The following is an 18,551-nucleotide window of genomic DNA, read 5'->3' as shown; positions in this document are numbered from 1 at the left end:
AGAGAGACTGGCCTAGCCTCCCGCACTAAATCTTTCTCCCGTGTTGGATGCTTCCTGCCCTTGAACATCAACTCCAACTTCTTCAGTTTTGGAACTCTGACTGACTCTCCTTGCTCCTCAACCTGCAGACAGCCTAATGTGGGACTCTGTGATGGTGTAAGGTGTAATTTAATACTTAATAAACATATATATGTTTATTATGTATATACTATATATTATAATATATTAATATATAATAATATAATATAATATTATATATTATATTTAATATTATATTATTATATAATATATAATAATAAAATATTATTATATATAAAATATATAATATAATATAATATTATTATATATTATATTTAATATTATATTATATATAATATAATATTAAATATATAATAATATTATAATAATATTATGTATATTATTATTATATATAATAATATATAATATGTATAATATATATTATATATATAATAAAAATATATATTTATATTCCATTAGTTCTGTCCCTCTAGAGAACCCTGACTAATACATGAACACACTTTGGTAATATTAAAACTTTCAAACCAAATAGGGTAAACAGGCGCTCACAGAAACTGATGTCCTAGAATGACTGTTTCCCATCTCTAATTTACCTATTTATTTTACTTAGTGGTTTGTAGATGCCAATAACGGAATCTACTCTAGACGGTTGGTGCAAAAAGCAATCTAATACATGATTTTAGGTTCATACAAGCTCATTGGTAGAGGTGGAGAAACCTCCAACTTGAACTTCCTGGAAAATTCCTGTATTCACAAGCATGTTGCCCCCATAGGTGAAAAATCCTAATCTCACTGCAAAATTCTGTTACTACAACAAATGTTCACAGAAAAACATTACCATTGCTGCTGTAAAGTGCTAGATCAAAGCAGAAGCCCTGCACCTAGCTCCTCTAGCCACACAATTCAGTCTCAAATCAAAGTCTCTTGCAAGTACAATCAATAAGTAAAAAGAAATTCTTCCAAACTATAGCTTTAATGGAGGCTAAATTGTAATATTTTAAGCATTCTAATCACTGTATGCAAAAAGGAAATTGAAATGGATGTTGGAAAAGCCACTACATGTTATCTACTAGATTCCTTATTTTAAATGCATTTGTTTCACTGTCTGATTCATATGTGCTTCCATACTAGAAAAAAGGCTCCCAGAATTCAGGAGCTTTCTCTGTTTTTGTCATTACCTAATGCAACACCTTTCACATATGTGGTTCTCAAAAAATATGCATTGAAAAATCAAATAGCTTAATGCCAAAAATGTGGTAAAGGTTCTCGTTTTTTCCTGAATTAGTCAAGAATGATAAGAGAGAGAGCCATTATTGAAATACTAAAGAAAATTTTCCTTCCCCGGACAAAATATTTCTAAAGTGCGTTTAGTAGAATAAACATATCCTTAAGCTAAGAATACAGGGTAATGGAGACATAGCTTCCAAATTCAAACTTCGTATTTCAAATTGGATACTTCCCTGTATTGCTATTATACATTAAAATAAAGTCCAAAAAACTCTCACCTTTCTCCCTGACAAACTCAACTTGCTCCCTTTTTGTACCTTTTTAAAATAACAGACATTTTGATCATTTGTAAATATAAGCTAGATGATAGTAAATGCTACAAATATTTGAAAATCTTTCATTAGTCAAGCAACAATACAAAATCCTTAATTTGGCCAATAAGAATCTCTATCAGGAAGTCTGCACACACTTCCATAAACTCATCCTGTTCCTTTATTCCATACGTTATCCTGTTCCTTTATTCCATTGCATTCAATGATGTCTTAAATTCTTGAATGCAAAATAATTTTTCCTAACTTGCAAGTTTCCTCATAACCTAGGATGAGAACTTGCAAGGACAGATTGCAAGTTCGAATTTCTTGGTCACACCACTCCAACAGTAGTTTATGTTTATTTGTTTTTGTTTAAATTCATGGAGTTTAGCTCTCAATTTGGTTAACCCACTGAAATTAAGAAAGGCTGAAATTATCAGTCTAGTCAATAAGTAATTGTAATATACTATTTGTGATGCTAAATTGGTACCCATTTCCAACTAAGATTGAGATAGGAGGAAGATAAATTATTTTCTTCATTTACTATTTATTTTTGACAATGGCTGGATAAAAGTTGATGTTTTATTTAAAATTGTTTATTTGATTCCAAGTTTTTCTGCTTGCAAACAACCTCTTTCTCTGGTCATAAAATTAACATTCTGTTTATAATTCATTCACAAGACTTAAAATATCAAAATAGGATATTTTCTTTAAAGCATTATGACTTACATAATAAGAAAAAGTTAAATATAATTTGTAAAAGTTACATGTTTACAGTACCTGTACCAGTACAGAAAATAGCAAATAGCATTATAATGATAATATATTTAATCTCTTATATTCTACCTCATATAATATTATAACACAAATATTATTTGGTGACTACCAAAGAGAGTACATGGTTTCTTAACATTTTAATCTAAAATAAAATCCCCCAAATTTTATTGCAACAAATGTCTAATTTTCAGAAAAGTTGAAAAAAATTTATATTGACCAACACAATTTGTCACCTCGACTCAAAATTAGTTAAGTTTTGCCACACATGCCAAAAATATAGATATTAAAATTTTGTTGCAGACAGTATGATGCTTTTCCATAGAATAGCTTAGAAAAGATCTCCTTAAAACAAGAACAGTCTCCTACATAAACATAGTAGGATATGATCAATCAGAATATCTCATCTATTTTTATCTAGAAAAATCTCCTGCCCATTTTGTAAAAATGACATTAATATGTTAAATAGATTGGAAAAATTTTGCAATTTTATCTCACATTCTAGTGATTTTCTCATTCTATCATTCTTTTATTAGCTGGAATTGTTTTATAAAGGAGAACTTTTCTTCCTAACTTGGATGACATATATATATATGAAATATGCATATATATATATATATCTTTTCTTGTAAAGGCTTGTTAAATGCTTAGTTTTTTTATTTTTAACTATCAATTTTCAGAGCAAGAGGGTGGTGTAATAATCAACTTCATTCTCATTCTCTCTTCCTATCTCTCCACTCTTGACTTAAAGGTTTTTATTTTAGATAGTTTTAAAATCATTTACAGTTAGTATATTTTTATGTCCCAATCTGACCATAAGGAAAACCTTCACACTGGTTCCTTGATCTTTCTAACACGGCCATTACCCCTTCCACCACCTTGTTAGTAGAAAGTTTTGTTGCTTTCAAGGATAGTCAGTGTTCTAACACTTGTCGTAAGTTCCCTGCGACATACCCAAAATCAACCCTTTCTTTATTAGTTTATTTTGGTAAGAAATTCTATTCAGACAGGAAAATCCAGATCACAGAATCTTTCATTGTTGCTGGGTTTGCATGCTTTCTAGGTCCGTTTTTGTGATGAAGGCCAGAAAATATATGTACTTGAAAAAAAGAAACCTAAATGAGTCCATACTGGCATTTTTCGGTATGAAATTATTATAGGAAATTTACTTAATTTCCACAATTATGTAATTTTAGGGTTTTTTTTGTATTTGAAAATCTTTGTTCTTGATACAATAAATAAATATGTACCTGCTGTATTCATCAACTTTTTTTCAAAATAGCATTACAAATACCATAATTGATAATATGTCTTTTAAGACTTTTTCAATCCTGCTAAGGTTTTACCAGAAGAGTTCTGTGATATTCAATTGGTTGAAATTACTATTTTTTTCTTTGTGAACTTAAGTAGGTTCATGTGTTTCTGTTTATTTTCTACTTAGAGAAATTGCTTTTTCTTTCCAAAATTTGATGTAATTTAGTTCTTTGAATACACAAAATATTTACAAACTTGCAATCTGTCTATTAGTTGGTACAGAGGTAATGGCAAAAACCATGATTACTTTTGCACCAACCTAATGCTACTCTATAACATATGTCCAGAACAGTGAACTATTCTGCTTCCTCTGGTATTTGAGAAAGCAGGGTATAGGGGTTGGGTACAACTGGATATAGAGGAAATACTGCCTCATTGATGAGTCTAAGATTTTGCACTAGTCTCCACTGATCATTCGGTTTTTGTACTCCTAGAATTGGGGTGTTGCAGGGACTGCTGCATTTTCTTACTAAGCCTTGAACATTTAAATGTCTAACAATATCCTGTAATTCTTTATGAGCTTCAGGCCTTAAGGGATGTTGCCTTTGATAAGGAAAAGTGGTGGCGTCTTTTAGCCTGGTTTGGACTGGGTGGGCATTTTTTGCCCTTCCAAATTGTCCTTCCAATGCCCAGACTTCAGGGTTGATTTCCTCCTCAAGTAGGGGACAATAAATGGGTAACTTGTTCCCCTTATTCATGTAGATAATAGCTCCAGCCTTGGCTAATATGTCCCTCCCTAATAAGGGTGTGGGACTTTCAGGTGTAACAAGAAAGGCATGTGAAAAGAGCAAAGTCTCCCAATTACAACTGAGGAGGTGGGAGAAATACCTGGTTACAGGCTGTCCCAGGATTCCTCGGATGGTAATGGACCTTGAGGATAGCCATCCAGGGCAGGAGATTAACGCTGAGAAGGCTGTGCCAGTGTCCAGGAGGAAGTCAATTTCCTGGCTCTCACTGGTTAAACATACACAGGGCTCAGTGAGGGTGATGACATGAGCTGGCGCTTGCCCCAGACACCCTCAGTTCTGTTGTTGGATCATCTGGTTGGGAGCTTCTGGCCCAGAGACCCTTTGTTCTCTGGGGCAGTGTGCCTTCCAGTGATTGTCTTGGCATAGTGGACATGGGCGAAGGGGCAGCTTGTTTCTCGTTGGACAATCTTTTTTAAAGTGTCCTTGCAAGCCACACTGATAACAAACCTTATCAGGTGATTGGCCTGCTCCATTTTCTGTCCTCTCTGAACCACCAAGGTTTGTTTGTCTGAGGGCCATGACTAAGGCTGCGGCCTTTCTCTTATCTCGCTTTTCCTTTTCGGCCTGTTCTTCTTGGTCCCTATTATAGAACACTGAGGTTGCCAGGCTTAATAATGCCTCCAGATTTTGTTCAAGCCCAGGGCTCACTTTGGGAACTTTCTCCTGATATCTGTGGCTGATTGGGTAATAAACTTATCTTTTAGGATCAAACAAGGGAGTATATTTTCTTGAGGCCTCCTGTAGCCGCTAGAGTAAGGCGGTAGGATTTTCCTTTCCCTGAGTTATGGTGGACATCATTGAATAATTCATGGGGTTTTTTCTAATTCTTCTTAGTCCTTCTAGAACACAGGTCAACAGATGTTTGCGACTCCAGTCCCCATGATCTGAGTCTAGGTCCCACTGGAGATCCATACTGAGGATGGCTTGCTGAACAGTAGGGAATTTGTCCCTTTATTCGGCTGTCATTCTATCATTTGCTTGACTAAGATACCAGGTTATCTCCAAACTCTCAGGCTGTAGCTAAAGCCACATTCTTTTCATTAAAGGCCAGGGTTTGATCTAACAATAGCATGACACCTCTCCAAGTGAGGTCAAAAGTTTGCCATAGACCCTGTAGGACATCTATATACCTATCAGGATCATCTGTAAACTTCCCCAGGTCTACCTTGATCTGCTTTAAATCAGAGAGGGAGAAGGGGACATGTATCCGGGTTGAGCCAAATTCCCCTCTCCCTACAGCTTGAAGGGGACATAAACGATAGCCCGGGGGGTTTTGTGGTCCCTTGGAGATTTCCTTGCTTGCTTCCTTCTGGGTGGGGGAGATTAGAGGAGGCTTATCATTAATAGGAAGGGAAGCTGTAAGGAGGCTAGGATATGGAGGTAAGTTGAGAAGTCCTCCTGTGGGATGTAAATTGCAAGTTTTGCATAGTTGTGGATTATCCTTCAATAAAAAGAAAGCTTGGACATAGGTATTTCACTCCATTTGCCTTCCCTCTTACAGAAAAGGTCAAGTTGCAGGATAGTATTATAATTTATACTTCCTTCAGGTGACCATTTTTTCCCATCAGAGAGGGAATACTGGGGCCAGGCCATAATGCAGAAAAAAATGAGCCACTTACCTATTTTTCAGGATTTGCAGGTCAAATTGGTCCCAATGGCTTAGGATGCATTTCAAGGGTGAGCCTGTTGATGCCTGAGTGTTTCCCATCTGAAAGAAAAAACCTCCTGCAGTTTTTTTTTTTTCCCCTGCCCGAGAACCTGCAACAGTCCCTGGACCCTGCTGTTCAGAATAGTTGGCACTCACCAAAGCAGCAGCAGAAACACTAGTTTTCATCCTAGACTACAAAGAGGACTGAGAAAAATCGGATTTAGTGGCCCTTACTGATGCATTCTCAAAAATCAATTACAGTCCTAAGCATTTTCTCCTTTTAGTATTGGGACCTTACCCTTATCCCATAAAGATGATATGCCTCAAAATGGAGTGGAGGGCCATACCTTGAGGGAGGGAAGGGATCTCCAGGGTTGGAAGAGTGACACCTTTTGTCCTCACTTCTCATCATGTGAATAGGAAGGATAGCCCCCCAATTTTGGAGTCTGTAATTTCTGAGGCTCCCCATGTCCTAGCTTCAGGAATAGCCTTTGTTAGGCAGGCTAGTCTGAGGAGGGATTCTGAAAGTTTGGATGGTACCCCCCCGATGGGGCTTTGAGAAAAAACTATGTCTTTCTGATTGGTGAGCCTGGGTGCCTAAAGAAGGGAACAGAGCCCTGAAGTTTATACTAAAAGTCTTTATAGGAGAAACTAGAAAAGCACCAGAGACAGGGAGTGGTTTTTAGAAGCAGGACTAGCCTCAGAGAAGAGAGGCAAGAGAAAGTTTGTCTGATAGGTGTTAGGACCCAGGAGGCAAGGGTCAGGATAGATAGGATATATGGGTAAATCTCACTTGGGCAACGTAACTTTGAGAGTTCCGCTCATGGCTGCAGGGTAAACCAACTTTTTGTTGGGACCCTGGAGCTGAATGGCTTTTCTGTCTGTTGACCTTTGGCTCAGCCCAAAGTACAGGAAAAGTGGAAGCTGGTTCCCAGAAAACCGACGCTCCCGACTCCGAAGTGTCAGGGTTTGTTAGAGAGCCCTTTCCCAGAAAGACTGATACCCATGTCTTTAGTGTTGTAGCTGCACTAGTCGCTTTTAACTGGGTGACAGGTGCCTGGTGTTTAGCCCCCAAATTCTAAAGAAAAATAGGACAGAATGGCAAGCAAAAGGGGTCCGATGGTACTCACCACATGACAATATCCCAGAGGAGCTCCCAAGATGTGTCCAGAGTTGGTTCCTGCCAGTGGGTTTGTGGTTTTGCTGATTTCAAGAATGGAGCCATGGACCTTCGCAGTGAGTGTTACAGCTTTTAAAGATGGCACAGACCCAAAGAGTGAGCAGCAGCAAGATTTATTGTGAAGAGTGAAAGAACAAAGCTTCCACAGTGTGTAAGGAGACCCGAGTGAGTTGCTGCTGCTGGCTGGGGTGGCCAGCATTTATTCCCTTGTTTGTCCCCTCCCATGTTCTGTTTTTGTCCTATCAGAGTGCTCCTTTATCAATCCTCCCTGTGATTGGCTAGTTTTAGGATCCTGCTGATTGGTGCATTTTACAGAGTGCTGATTGTTGCATTTTCAGGGTACTGATTGGTGCATTTTACAATCCCCTTGCTAGCTACAGAGTGCTGATTGGTGCGTTTTTACAGAGCACTAATTGGTGCATTTTATAATCCTCTTGTAAGACAGAAAAGTTCTCCAAGTCCCCACTCGACCCAGCAAGTCCAGCTGGCTTCACATCTCAACGTGACTTGGCTGCCGTTAAAGGCATTCAGTTTTATAAAGGAAGCAGAGCATACAAGTTTGGAAAATTTGCAGCCTGATTATGTGATAGAAAAGAAAATCCCATTTTCTGTGGAGAAATTCAAGCTGGCTACAGAAATTTGCATAAGTAGCAAGGAGCCTAATGTTAATCCCCGAGACCATGGGCAAAATGTCTCCAGGCCACGTTAGAGACCTTCATGCCATCCCCTCCCATCATATGCTTGGAGATCCAGGAGGAAAAAGTGGTTTTGTGGCCTGGGCCCAGCGTCCATGTGCTGTATGCAGCCTAGAGACGTAGTGCTCTGTGTGCCAGCTGCTCCAGCCATGGCTCAAAAGGGCCAATGTACAGCTTGAGCTTTGGCTTCAGAGGCTGGAAACCCCAAGCCTTGGCAGTTTCCACGTGGTGTTAAGCCTGCAGTTGCCCAGAAGTCAATAATTGAGGTTTGGGAACCTCTGTCTAGATTTCAGAAGATGTTGGAAATGCCTGGATGCCTAGTAAAAAGTTTGCTACAGGGTCAGGGCCCTCATGGAGAATCTCTGCTAAGGCAGTGCAGAAGGAAAATGTGGAGTCGGAGAACCCCCAAAGAGTCTCTATGGGGCCCTGCTTAGTGGAGCTGTGAGAAGAGGGCCACTGTCCTCCACACCCCAGAAGGGTAGGTCCACCGACAGTTGGACAGATCCACCCACACTTGCACTGTGCACCTGGAAAAGCCACAGACACTCAACTTCAACCCATGAAAACAACCAGGAGGGAGGCTGTACCCTGCAAAGCCACAGGGTCAGAGCTATCAAAGACCATGGGAACCCACCCCTTGCATCAGCATGACCTGGATGTTAGACCTGGAGTCAAAGGAGATCATTTTGGAACTTTGAAATTTGACTGCCCCATTGTATTTTGGACTTGCATGGGCCCTGTAACCCCTTTGTTTTGGCCAATTTCTCCCAAGTGGAATGACTGTATTTACTCGATACCCATACCCCCATTGTATCTACAAAATAACTAGCTTGCTTTTGATTTTACAAGCTCATAGGTGGAAGGCACTTGCCTCGTCGCAGATGAGACTTTGGACTGTGGACTTTTGGGTTAATGTTGAAATGAGTTAAGACTTTTGGGGACTGTTGGGAAGACATGATTGATTTTGACATATGAGGACATGATATTTGGAGGGGTCACAGGCAAAATGATATGATTTGGCTGTGTCCCTACCCAAATCTCAACTTGAATTGTGTCTCCCAGAATTCCCACATGTTGTGGGAGGGACCCAGGGAGAGGTAATTGAATCATGGGTGTTAGTGTTTCCTGTGCTATTCTCGTGATAGTGAATAAGTTTCATGAGATGTGATGGGTTTATCAGGGTTTTCCGCTTTTGCTTTTCCCTCATTTTCTCTTGCCGCCATCATGTAAGAAATGTCTTTTGCCTCCTGCTGTGATTCTGAGACCTCCCTGGCCATGCGGAACTGTAAGTCTAATTATACATCTTTTTCTTCCCAGTCTTGGGTATGTTTTTATCAGTGGCATGAAAGCGAACAAATACAAGCATGTTATTGTACTGAATACTGTAGGGAATTGTAACATGATGTTAGTATTTTTGTAGCTACACATAAAAAAGGTACAGTAAAAATACAATATTGTAATCTTACAGAATCAACATTGTATATGTGATCTGTCCTTGACCAAAATATCATTATGTGACACATGACTGTATGTGGTGTGTTTGTATATATACACAACATCCATATACTGTATATATAAACCATATATATATAATCATATATAAAACCATACGAACACACACATACTCCCCCTACACACAGAGAATATATGATTCCATGCTTCCAAATGTTAAAACTTGGTGAATGTCTTTGATAAGTATATGGAAAATCCTTATACTATGCTTACAATTTTTCTGTAACTTTAAAATTGTTTAAAATAAAAAATGTTAAAAGCAATCCTCTTATGTTTACAATTACCTGTTTATCTGAATGAAATTCTCTATCACTATTTCTTAAGGAAACAATTTTCAAGGAAGAGTTCTATTAAATAGGATAGTGTTTTGTGGGCCAAAGAATGCAGGATAATTTGGAGTTTCTGTCATTCCAGTGGGAGAGACCAAATGTAAGACAGGATTCTTACCAACAAGGCCTTGGGACACTGCCAGTCTGTCAGCATTGTTTTGCTCTGGCGCAGCTCTCCAGGACTTATGCAAGGTTGGGTAACAGCAGGTCCTGACCTGTAGGACTGGCTGGCAGAAACTGAAGCATGCAATCTCAGACTGTGTGACCCACATGGAAACTCCTGTGAAACAGCACAAGCCAGCCGAACAGGATGGTGAATGACAGTCTGAGAGCGGGTGACTGGGTTTGAGCAAGACAAAGACATCAGGAAACCTCAACATTAAAAGAGAACAACAGAAATTTTTATACTTTCTACATTGACCTATGGATGAACAAATGACAGAATACAAATTAAACAATGTAGTCTACCTATTTTAATAACCTAAGTGCATCATCACCAGAATATTGTTGAATCAGAGACAGAAAATATGAATGTATAGCTGTAAAAATATAATTTAGTAGATAAATCTTACTTTGCATTGAAGCCAGATTCTTTGAGACTAAATATAATATATTGAACATCAGAATGAAAAACTATACATAATAATCTAAGCAAAGCTAATATAAAAATATGTTCTTATATACAAGGTACACATTTAACATATATTTGCTCATATAGTGATAAAATGAACACCACTATATTTGGTTTAAGTGTTTTTTAACAATGAAAGGAAAATTAGGAAATAAGTTTCTTTTGAGACATTTTTGTGCTATATAGAGTACATGATGTATCATGAAGATAGGAATGGTTAAAAGCAGATATAGTCATAATTACAAATTAAGTTCAATTCAGTTTGTACATTTCCTTGAATATGGTACTCCAAAAGTACTTAGAAAAGTATGAGCAATGGACCAGCTTTGAGAAACAGTGTTTTTATAATATTTTTATGTAAAAAGAAATATGGAAGATGTATATATGCCAAAAAATATCAAAGGCATATGGAGGATGGTAGTAAGTAAAATACAAAAAGGCTCAGAAGTAATTACTAAAATCTTATGAGCATATTGTTTCCAAGAACAAATTTGCCTTGATATTTTTTTCTGATGAGTAAGATAATTTTTCTGTCTTCATTTACAATATAGCAGATTGGTGGGATTTGTGTAAAATCAATCATCAAGTATGTATCACTTATCCTAAGAAAAATGCCCAACTGCGTGCACTATCACTCTTTATGCTGATTATATAATAATAATAATGAGATATTAGTTGAAATGTCTCTTTCAAGCTTACAAATTTATTACTTCTTTCCTAATGAAGGACCAGAATATACATATATATATATATATATATATATATATATATATATATATATATATACTGGTGTGTGTATATATGTATATATACACACACACACACAAACATATGTGTATATATATATATGTAATGTAAATATTCTGATTTTAAAGAGATAACAGTCAGGTTGAGAGGATAAACATGATATAAATAATTACTAAGAGCATTTGGTAATATTATTGGATGAGGATTATAAAAGAGTTGCCACATTTTGTGATGAAAACATAGGCAAATGTAAGTTTATTTCTGGTTATGGAAGAAAACAATGAAGATATCACAGAAAAGGTGTTAGTAATTAGATTCTAAAATATTCATGGGCAATCTCATTAGTCACTAAAATAAGAAAGTGCATTCTAGGAAGAGAATAAGGTGTGTTTAGGAAATTACAGTCATGACAGATCAAGGTGAAACTATACAGTATCTCCTAGTTCAGTGAGCTTGTGACAAAAAAACAAAAACAAACAAAAAACTAACAAGACTGAAGGGGAGTGATAGGAATCACTTCCATAAAGATCATGGAAGGCTTCTATACTAAAAAATAAAATGTCAGATTGTGGCAAGTGATATACTATAGACGGATAGAAGAAAAATAAGAAGGTTTTGAAGATAATTTGAGGCAGCATGGAGACTATCATAAAATAATATCTATCATAAGAATATCTAATACTAGAAAGAGTTCAGTTCCTTTCAGTGACTCATCTGATTGGTTTAGGGTTAGTCCAGACAATAGCCCTTTTGAAATTTGGCTGATTTAGGACCTTAAATGCATCTGCAAAATCCCTTCACAGCAGCATCTATGTTAGTGTTTCATTGAGTAACTGGGAGAACATGTGTGCACATTAAAGAATGGGATCTTGGGGCCATTATGTGTTGAATTGTGTTCCCCTAACATTGATATGTTGAAGTCTTAATCTCCAGTATCTCAGAACGTGATCTTATGTGAAAATGGGGTCTTTGCCTGTATAATGAGTAAGGATGAAGTCATACTATAGTAGAATGGATCGCTAATTCACTATGATAGATGGTTTTATGAAACGGAGAAATTTGGAAACAACCATGTCTTTAGGGATCATGCCATTGCAGACAAATTCTCTGAGTTAGCAATTCAATTATTTCCCTCTATCATCTGTAGTTCTCAGGAATAAAAAAAAAATAGGATGTACTGGGGATGCAACATTCTGAGATAAAGAATAACTGGCTGAAAGAGCATAAGCTATGTTCTTGTTCTTCCTAGAAACAAAATGTCCTATAATGCTTTTACCCAGTAAAGTATGAAGCTCTGGGGTATAAAACCCAGGCTGGGCTGCCTTCGGGGGTCCCACAGGTGTGTTGCAAGTGAAGATACACAGACAAGACTCTCTCTGCCCCAGGCAGCTTCCCTGAGCCTCAAGGGATCTGCTCACTATGAAACCTGGGTTTCAGTTTTCCCTTGGTGGCTATCTGTAAGTAATAAACCTGATTTATGTAACTTATTTTGTATGTGACTGTTTTGTTTTACCAGACTCAGACAGGTAGTAAAAGTAAAGCCCAGGATGCAGTGGGCTGAAGTGTTAACCAGTGCACAGTCAACCTGCTCCACAGGCATATAAATAAGAAAATAGCTACCTACAAGACAAGGAGAAAGACCTGGAATACATCCCTTCCTCAGACCCCTCAGAAGGAACCAATGCTGCCAACACCTTGATTTCACACTCTTAACCTCCGGAACTGCTGAGAAAATAAACCTCTGCTGTTTAAGTCACCAAGTCTGTGGTACTTTGTTATAGCAACCTTAGCAAACTAGTACAGGAGCCCTTTTGAATTCTGCCTATTTAAAATGTTTTTCTGGTAGTCAGAATTCAATATTATCATCTTGTATCCACCACAGCATATTGGTGTGTTTCCTATGCCTGCACTACTCTTCCCACAACCATGGTCCACTTGACCTCATGAAATTAATTTATCAGAAAAGCTTTTCTTGATCTGCTTCAGGCTGGGTCAAGTCTCCTTATTACATATGCTCATAAATTCAAGTACCTTTACTTCATGGTAATAAACAGGGTTGAAATTTTACGTGTACTTGTATGAATATTTTAATAGCTTTCTACTTCAGTACAATATATTTTTCATGAAGGTAATGTCAGCATTTGTTTTATTAGACTATACACACATACACACATTCAGATTCTAAAAGGGCCTGCTACTCAGAAATGCTTAATAAATATTTGGTAATTCCTTAATTTATCAGCAATTAACCTAGTAAATAAAGGAAATAATATGGATTGACCAGATAGACCATCGAGGAGGAAGAAGGTTTAGATTAATCAGACGTTTACTCTCATTTTTCACATCTTAATTTAAAGTACTTATGAGACATGTATCTATAGTTATAAATTAAGGAGTTAAAAAGACACAGCCTGTCTAAAAATTAGGATGGAATTCAGATCAATAATTTGAAGATAAAGTGTATTTCTTTCTTTTAAACACAATAATGTGTAAATTTTTCAGAAAGACAAAATGTGAAAGTACTATTATTATTATTTTTAAGTTCCGTGGTTTACATGTAGGATGTGCAGTTTTGTTACGTAGGTAAAGATGTGCCATGGTGGTTTGCTGCACCTATCAGGCCATCACCTAGGTGTTTAACGCAGCAGGCATTAGCTTTTTTCCTAATGTTCTCCCTCCCCACCGCCACCCCTATTACGACCCAATGTGTCTTGTTCCTTTCCCTGTGACTATGTGTTCTCATTGTTTAGCTCCCACTTATAAGTGAGAACATGCTGTGTTTGGTTTCCTGTTCCTGCATTAGTTTGCTGAGGATAATGGCTTCCAGCTCCTTCCAGGTTCCTGCAAGGGACATGATCTCATTTTTTATAGCTGCATAGTATTCCATGGTCTGTAAGTACATTTTCTTTATCTAGTCTATCACTGATGGGCATTTGGGTTGATTCCATGGCTTTGCTATTGTGAATGGTGCTGCAATGAACATACATGTGCATGTTATAATCGAACGATTTATTTTCTTTGGGAATATACCCAGTAATAGTATTCTTGGGTCAGATGGTATTTCTGGTTCTAGATCTTTGAGGAATCCCCACATTGTCTTCCACGATGGTCGAACTAATTTACATTCCCACCAACAGTGTAAAAGTGTTCCTATTTCTCTGCAACCTTGCCAGCATGTTGTTTCTTGACTTTTTAATAATTGTCATTCTGACTGGTGTGAGATGGTATCTCACTGTGGTTTTGATTTGCATTTCTCTAATGATCAGTGATGTTGAGCTTTTTCTCATATGTTTGTTAGTCACACGAATGTCTTTTATTAAGAAGTGTCTATGTCCTTTGCCTACTTTTTAGTGGTTTTTTTTTTTTCTTGTAAATTTGTTTCAGTTCCTTGTAGATTCTGGATATTAGACCTTTGTCACATGGACAGATTGCAAACTTTTCTCCCACTTTGAACGTTGCCTGTTTGCTCTGATGATAGTTTCTTTTGCTGTGAAGAAGCTCTTTAGTTTAATTATATCCCATTTGTCAATGTTTGCTTTTGTTGTAATTGCTTTAGGCCATTTCATCATGAACTCTTTGCCTGTACCTATGTCCCGAATGGTATTGTCTAGATTTTCTTTTAGGGTATGTATAGTTTTGGGTTTTGCAAAAAAAAAAAAAAAAAATGAAAAAATTGAAAAAAAAGTGTGCTGTGTGCTGAGTATTTCTCTTATATATGACAATTAGCAGATTGTTGAGAATTTAATAAATAATTTACAGGAGTAGTAGGGAGAGAGGAAAAAGTCAATCTGAAATTTAAAAAAAAATCCAAATCTGTCCATTAATTTTTCAATGCAAACAAACAACTATGGCTCTGTGGTCTATGTGAATTTTTTCAATGGTTACATACTACATCCAGGAGAAAAACAGCTCACTGAATATCCTGCTGTCTAATAAATCAGTTTAGTTTACTCCCCATGCAAGCTAAGAAGACTGAGGGAAGGCCTGTTATAATTATTGTGGCGCCATTATCTCCATATATTAAACATTCTACTTCCTTAAAGAGGAAGACATTTTTATAGTTGTCGTCCACTGGAAGTAGCACAACCTCTGGGAGGAGGAGAAGGGATAAATAAGAGGGAATATTATGTTAACTCAAACACAGAAAGTTTTAATGTAATTTATTTAGTTACCAAGTTTCTGTTGTTCTCTTCTATAGAATCATCTGCCTGAAACATTCCATAGTCTGCTCCTCTCTTTCATTTCATCATTCAATTTTTTTAAACCAACAAACCTGCCTATGTACCCCTGAACTTAGAATAAAAGTTGAAAAAAGAAATGTGTATATCTCAACCTCTCCAATCTCACTATGGTGTTATGTCCTCGTGTTGGAGTTAAGATGTCACTGACTAAAAATTGTTTGTTTTGCATGGCAAATATTTTATATATTTACTTTAAAAATGAATGAATAAAGACTCAACTTGCCATTCTAGCATACAATTTGAAAATAATTCAAAAATAGAATGGAATTGCTAAAACAATGCCCCTCTCTCCTTATGTAAAAACATTTTCTCAAAAGTTAATCCATAAGATTAAAATAATATATGTTGGAATTCTCTTTTAAAAGGGCCTCTAAAACCTCAATGTACACATGTATCATTGCAGACGCTGATTCAGCCAGTCTAGGGTGGAGCTTGAGATTCTTCAGGTCTTACATGCACTCAGGTAGTGCCAGTACCAAAATTCAAGATTTCAGGATCTAGAAAAATGATTAATAAATTTGCTTAAAAAAGTCTCTCTCTCTCTCTCTCTCTCTCTCTCTATATATATATATATATATATACACACACACACACACACACACACACACACACACACATATTTTGGTATTAATGTTAAACTGTTTCTTCTAAACTAGAAAACAGTATTTCTTTCAGAGAAATTATTTTCTCTTTTTGAAACTATTACCAGCTATATCTACTCTATTCTCATTTGGTACCATAGTATGCAAAGCCCTATCTCATAAAACTCATGAAGTTATATATATATATGTTGAAGGAGATATAGAACCACAAAGCAACTGCATTTCAATTGTAAACACTTTTAGGATCTATGTGCTGTTAGTATTTAAGTACTGTACATGTTAACGTTTCAAACCAATTCTCCTGTAGGTAGTTCAATTTGTAATGATAGCCTTTTAATAGAAAACCCAATACCTTCTTCATTACAAAAACATTAATTTCATTGCATTTTCCTTGCAATTTAGCTATTTTCATGCCTACAATGTTTAGCTTCCATTGTCTTATATGTAATTATAACTCTTTCACTGAAAGCGATAAATTTTTATTACATATTATCTTTGTCTGAGTCAAGGTAAATGTTCAGATGGGTCTGTTTTATTTTATTGACATGTTTCCCTTGGTTCATTGTAAATAAATGTAACTGTCATTCGTCAATGTTGCCTATATGAACCATGAAAAAACAAATAAAAACTTTCACTGATATTTTTCCTCTTAATCTAAGGTCATAGAGATTAACTGTTTATTGATTCAAACTCAAAATTAACCCTGTAAATGTTAAAAATGAAAATAGACTTCACATGTAGTAAAACTCTATGAACTATATATCAAATTATATTACGATTAGCTTAAATCATTTTCTATTAAATAATACATGCTAAAATCATGTATCTGTTTATAAAAAGTTACAGTGTATTGTTCCTAAAAAGGAATTTAACCTGTCAACAAGTTTACAAGTTTATGCAGTATCTTAAATGTAGTCTCTAAGACTCCTTAGAAAAAAGGACCATTATTTTCTTTTTCATTTATATATGACATTTCATATTTAACAGATGAAGTTTTAATTTATTAAACATACTTGGAGTTTGAGAAGGAGTACGTAGAAAGTGATAGCAGTGAGGACTCAAAGACTCAAAATGAGAATGTTTATGAGGAAAGAGAAAAGGAAGAAAAGGAGTAAAATATATCACGATTTGTATTAATGAGATTCTTTCATTATTGCATTTTATTAGCTAAGCATTTTAGTAAATGTTGAAGTAAAACTCTAAAAGATCAGCTAGGAAAACATCTGCCTCTTATTTACTTTACCTTTATTTATAAATTAAATTTACTGTAGTTTGTGACTTTCTAAACTATCATTGCAAATCCAGAAAGTGTTTTTAAAATAGATAAAGATAATTGAGCAAATAGAGAAGTTTTAAATTTTTTGGAGACTATGTTTGCACAAAAACTAATTTCCGCTTTTTGAAACGACTGTTTATATTTAGATATTTGAAGATTGTCAGGTATATATTCACCGTGCAGTAAAACATTTAGCCCTTTATTAGCTCCATATTTATAATATAATATGATCTGGGAGAATCTCACTCAAATTAGGCAGAATTCTCACCACATCTTAGTGTTAAAACATTTTTGTGGCAGCTGTCTTACTGTTGAGTTGAGATATATTCATATTTAGTGATAAAAATATTTATGCCCCATTTACATCATCATGAAATTTGGCCTGAGTTTGAGTTTTGGCCACACACGGATAAAAATATGACTACTTTTAAATTTTGTATTTAATATTAATAAATGATACTAATTATTAATAAGCCAAATGTTTATGTATATTTTATGAGGCTATGTTATTATTTTATATATTATATATACAAATATTAAAATACTAGTGCAATGATAAAATTAATATTCATAACATTAATAAAAATATTTTAAAATAAATATTTAAAAAGTTAAGGTTGAGTTGTTATAGACATACTCTATCTTACCTGTTGGCAGTGGTATTGTTATTTCTTTTGTATTTTTTAAAAACAGATGGAACAGACAGATAAGAAGCCATCACCAAGTTCTATTAAACTCTGTATGGTTTTTAAAAAATCTTTTTATAATGTATTATTTTTCACTGAGTTTACATTAATAGTATCTTGATTTTTAAGTTGGGTATGGTGTTTTTCATAATATTTCAATGGCACATTATTCCAGAGCATATTTAGTGCTTCCTTTTGTTGCGGGAACCCTTCCAGACCAAGTAGAGTATAGGCCAGTGTTACAGAGAAATTAATATCCCCAGATACAGCCCTTAATTTATGATTGACAGACATTTGGTGTTCACATGGACCAGCTTCTGAGGAATTTGCCGCAACCTTATGAGCATCCAACAAATATAGGTGCTGCTTCATTTTTGCCATCTCAATCTCATATGAGAATCTTTATTGTGGCTCACCTACTGAAACATACAGGGAAGGTAATTTTATAAAATCTCGTTTAGACTAAGCAAATTTAAAATTTATCAAGCAAATACATTAACTTTCCTCTACCATTTTGCCAGTGACTAGTCTCAGAGTCATTATGATTTGAAATGGTAAGAATTGCTGATGAATTGTAATGCACAGAGGCT

The 18,551-nt window shown here is 35.8% G+C and overlaps 1 long non-coding RNA gene across 2 annotated transcripts in view, besides 1 other annotated feature; it reads right to left on the bottom strand.

Moving 5' to 3' along the window:
• Positions 1 to 7,346, bottom strand: part of LOC105370302 (uncharacterized) — a 112,367-nt gene extending 105,021 nt beyond the window's left edge. For both annotated transcript variants that reach the window (XR_931625.3, XR_001749950.1), the window contains exons 1-2: positions 7,193 to 7,346; positions 6,034 to 6,122 (exon numbers count right to left, since the gene is read on the bottom strand). This is a non-coding gene — a long non-coding RNA (uncharacterized LOC105370302). The remainder of the gene's footprint in view (positions 1 to 6,033; positions 6,123 to 7,192) is intronic.
• Positions 4,942 to 5,142: a silencer, noted in NCBI's record as "peak2098 fragment used in MPRA reporter construct". NCBI's record gives its function as "represses an SCP1 promoter by STARR-seq MPRAs in K562 erythroleukemia cells {active_cell/tissue: K562}" and the evidence as "EXISTENCE:reporter gene assay evidence [ECO:0000049][PMID:32103011]".
• Positions 7,347 to 18,551: the final 11,205 nt, after the last annotated feature.

This window comes from Homo sapiens, chromosome 13 (genome assembly GCF_000001405.40).
Source record: "Homo sapiens chromosome 13, GRCh38.p14 Primary Assembly".
Classification (NCBI taxonomy): domain Eukaryota; kingdom Metazoa; phylum Chordata; class Mammalia; order Primates; family Hominidae; genus Homo; species Homo sapiens.
Note: the sequence above shows the minus strand (reverse complement) of the source record. Positions and strands in the feature narration are given on the sequence as shown.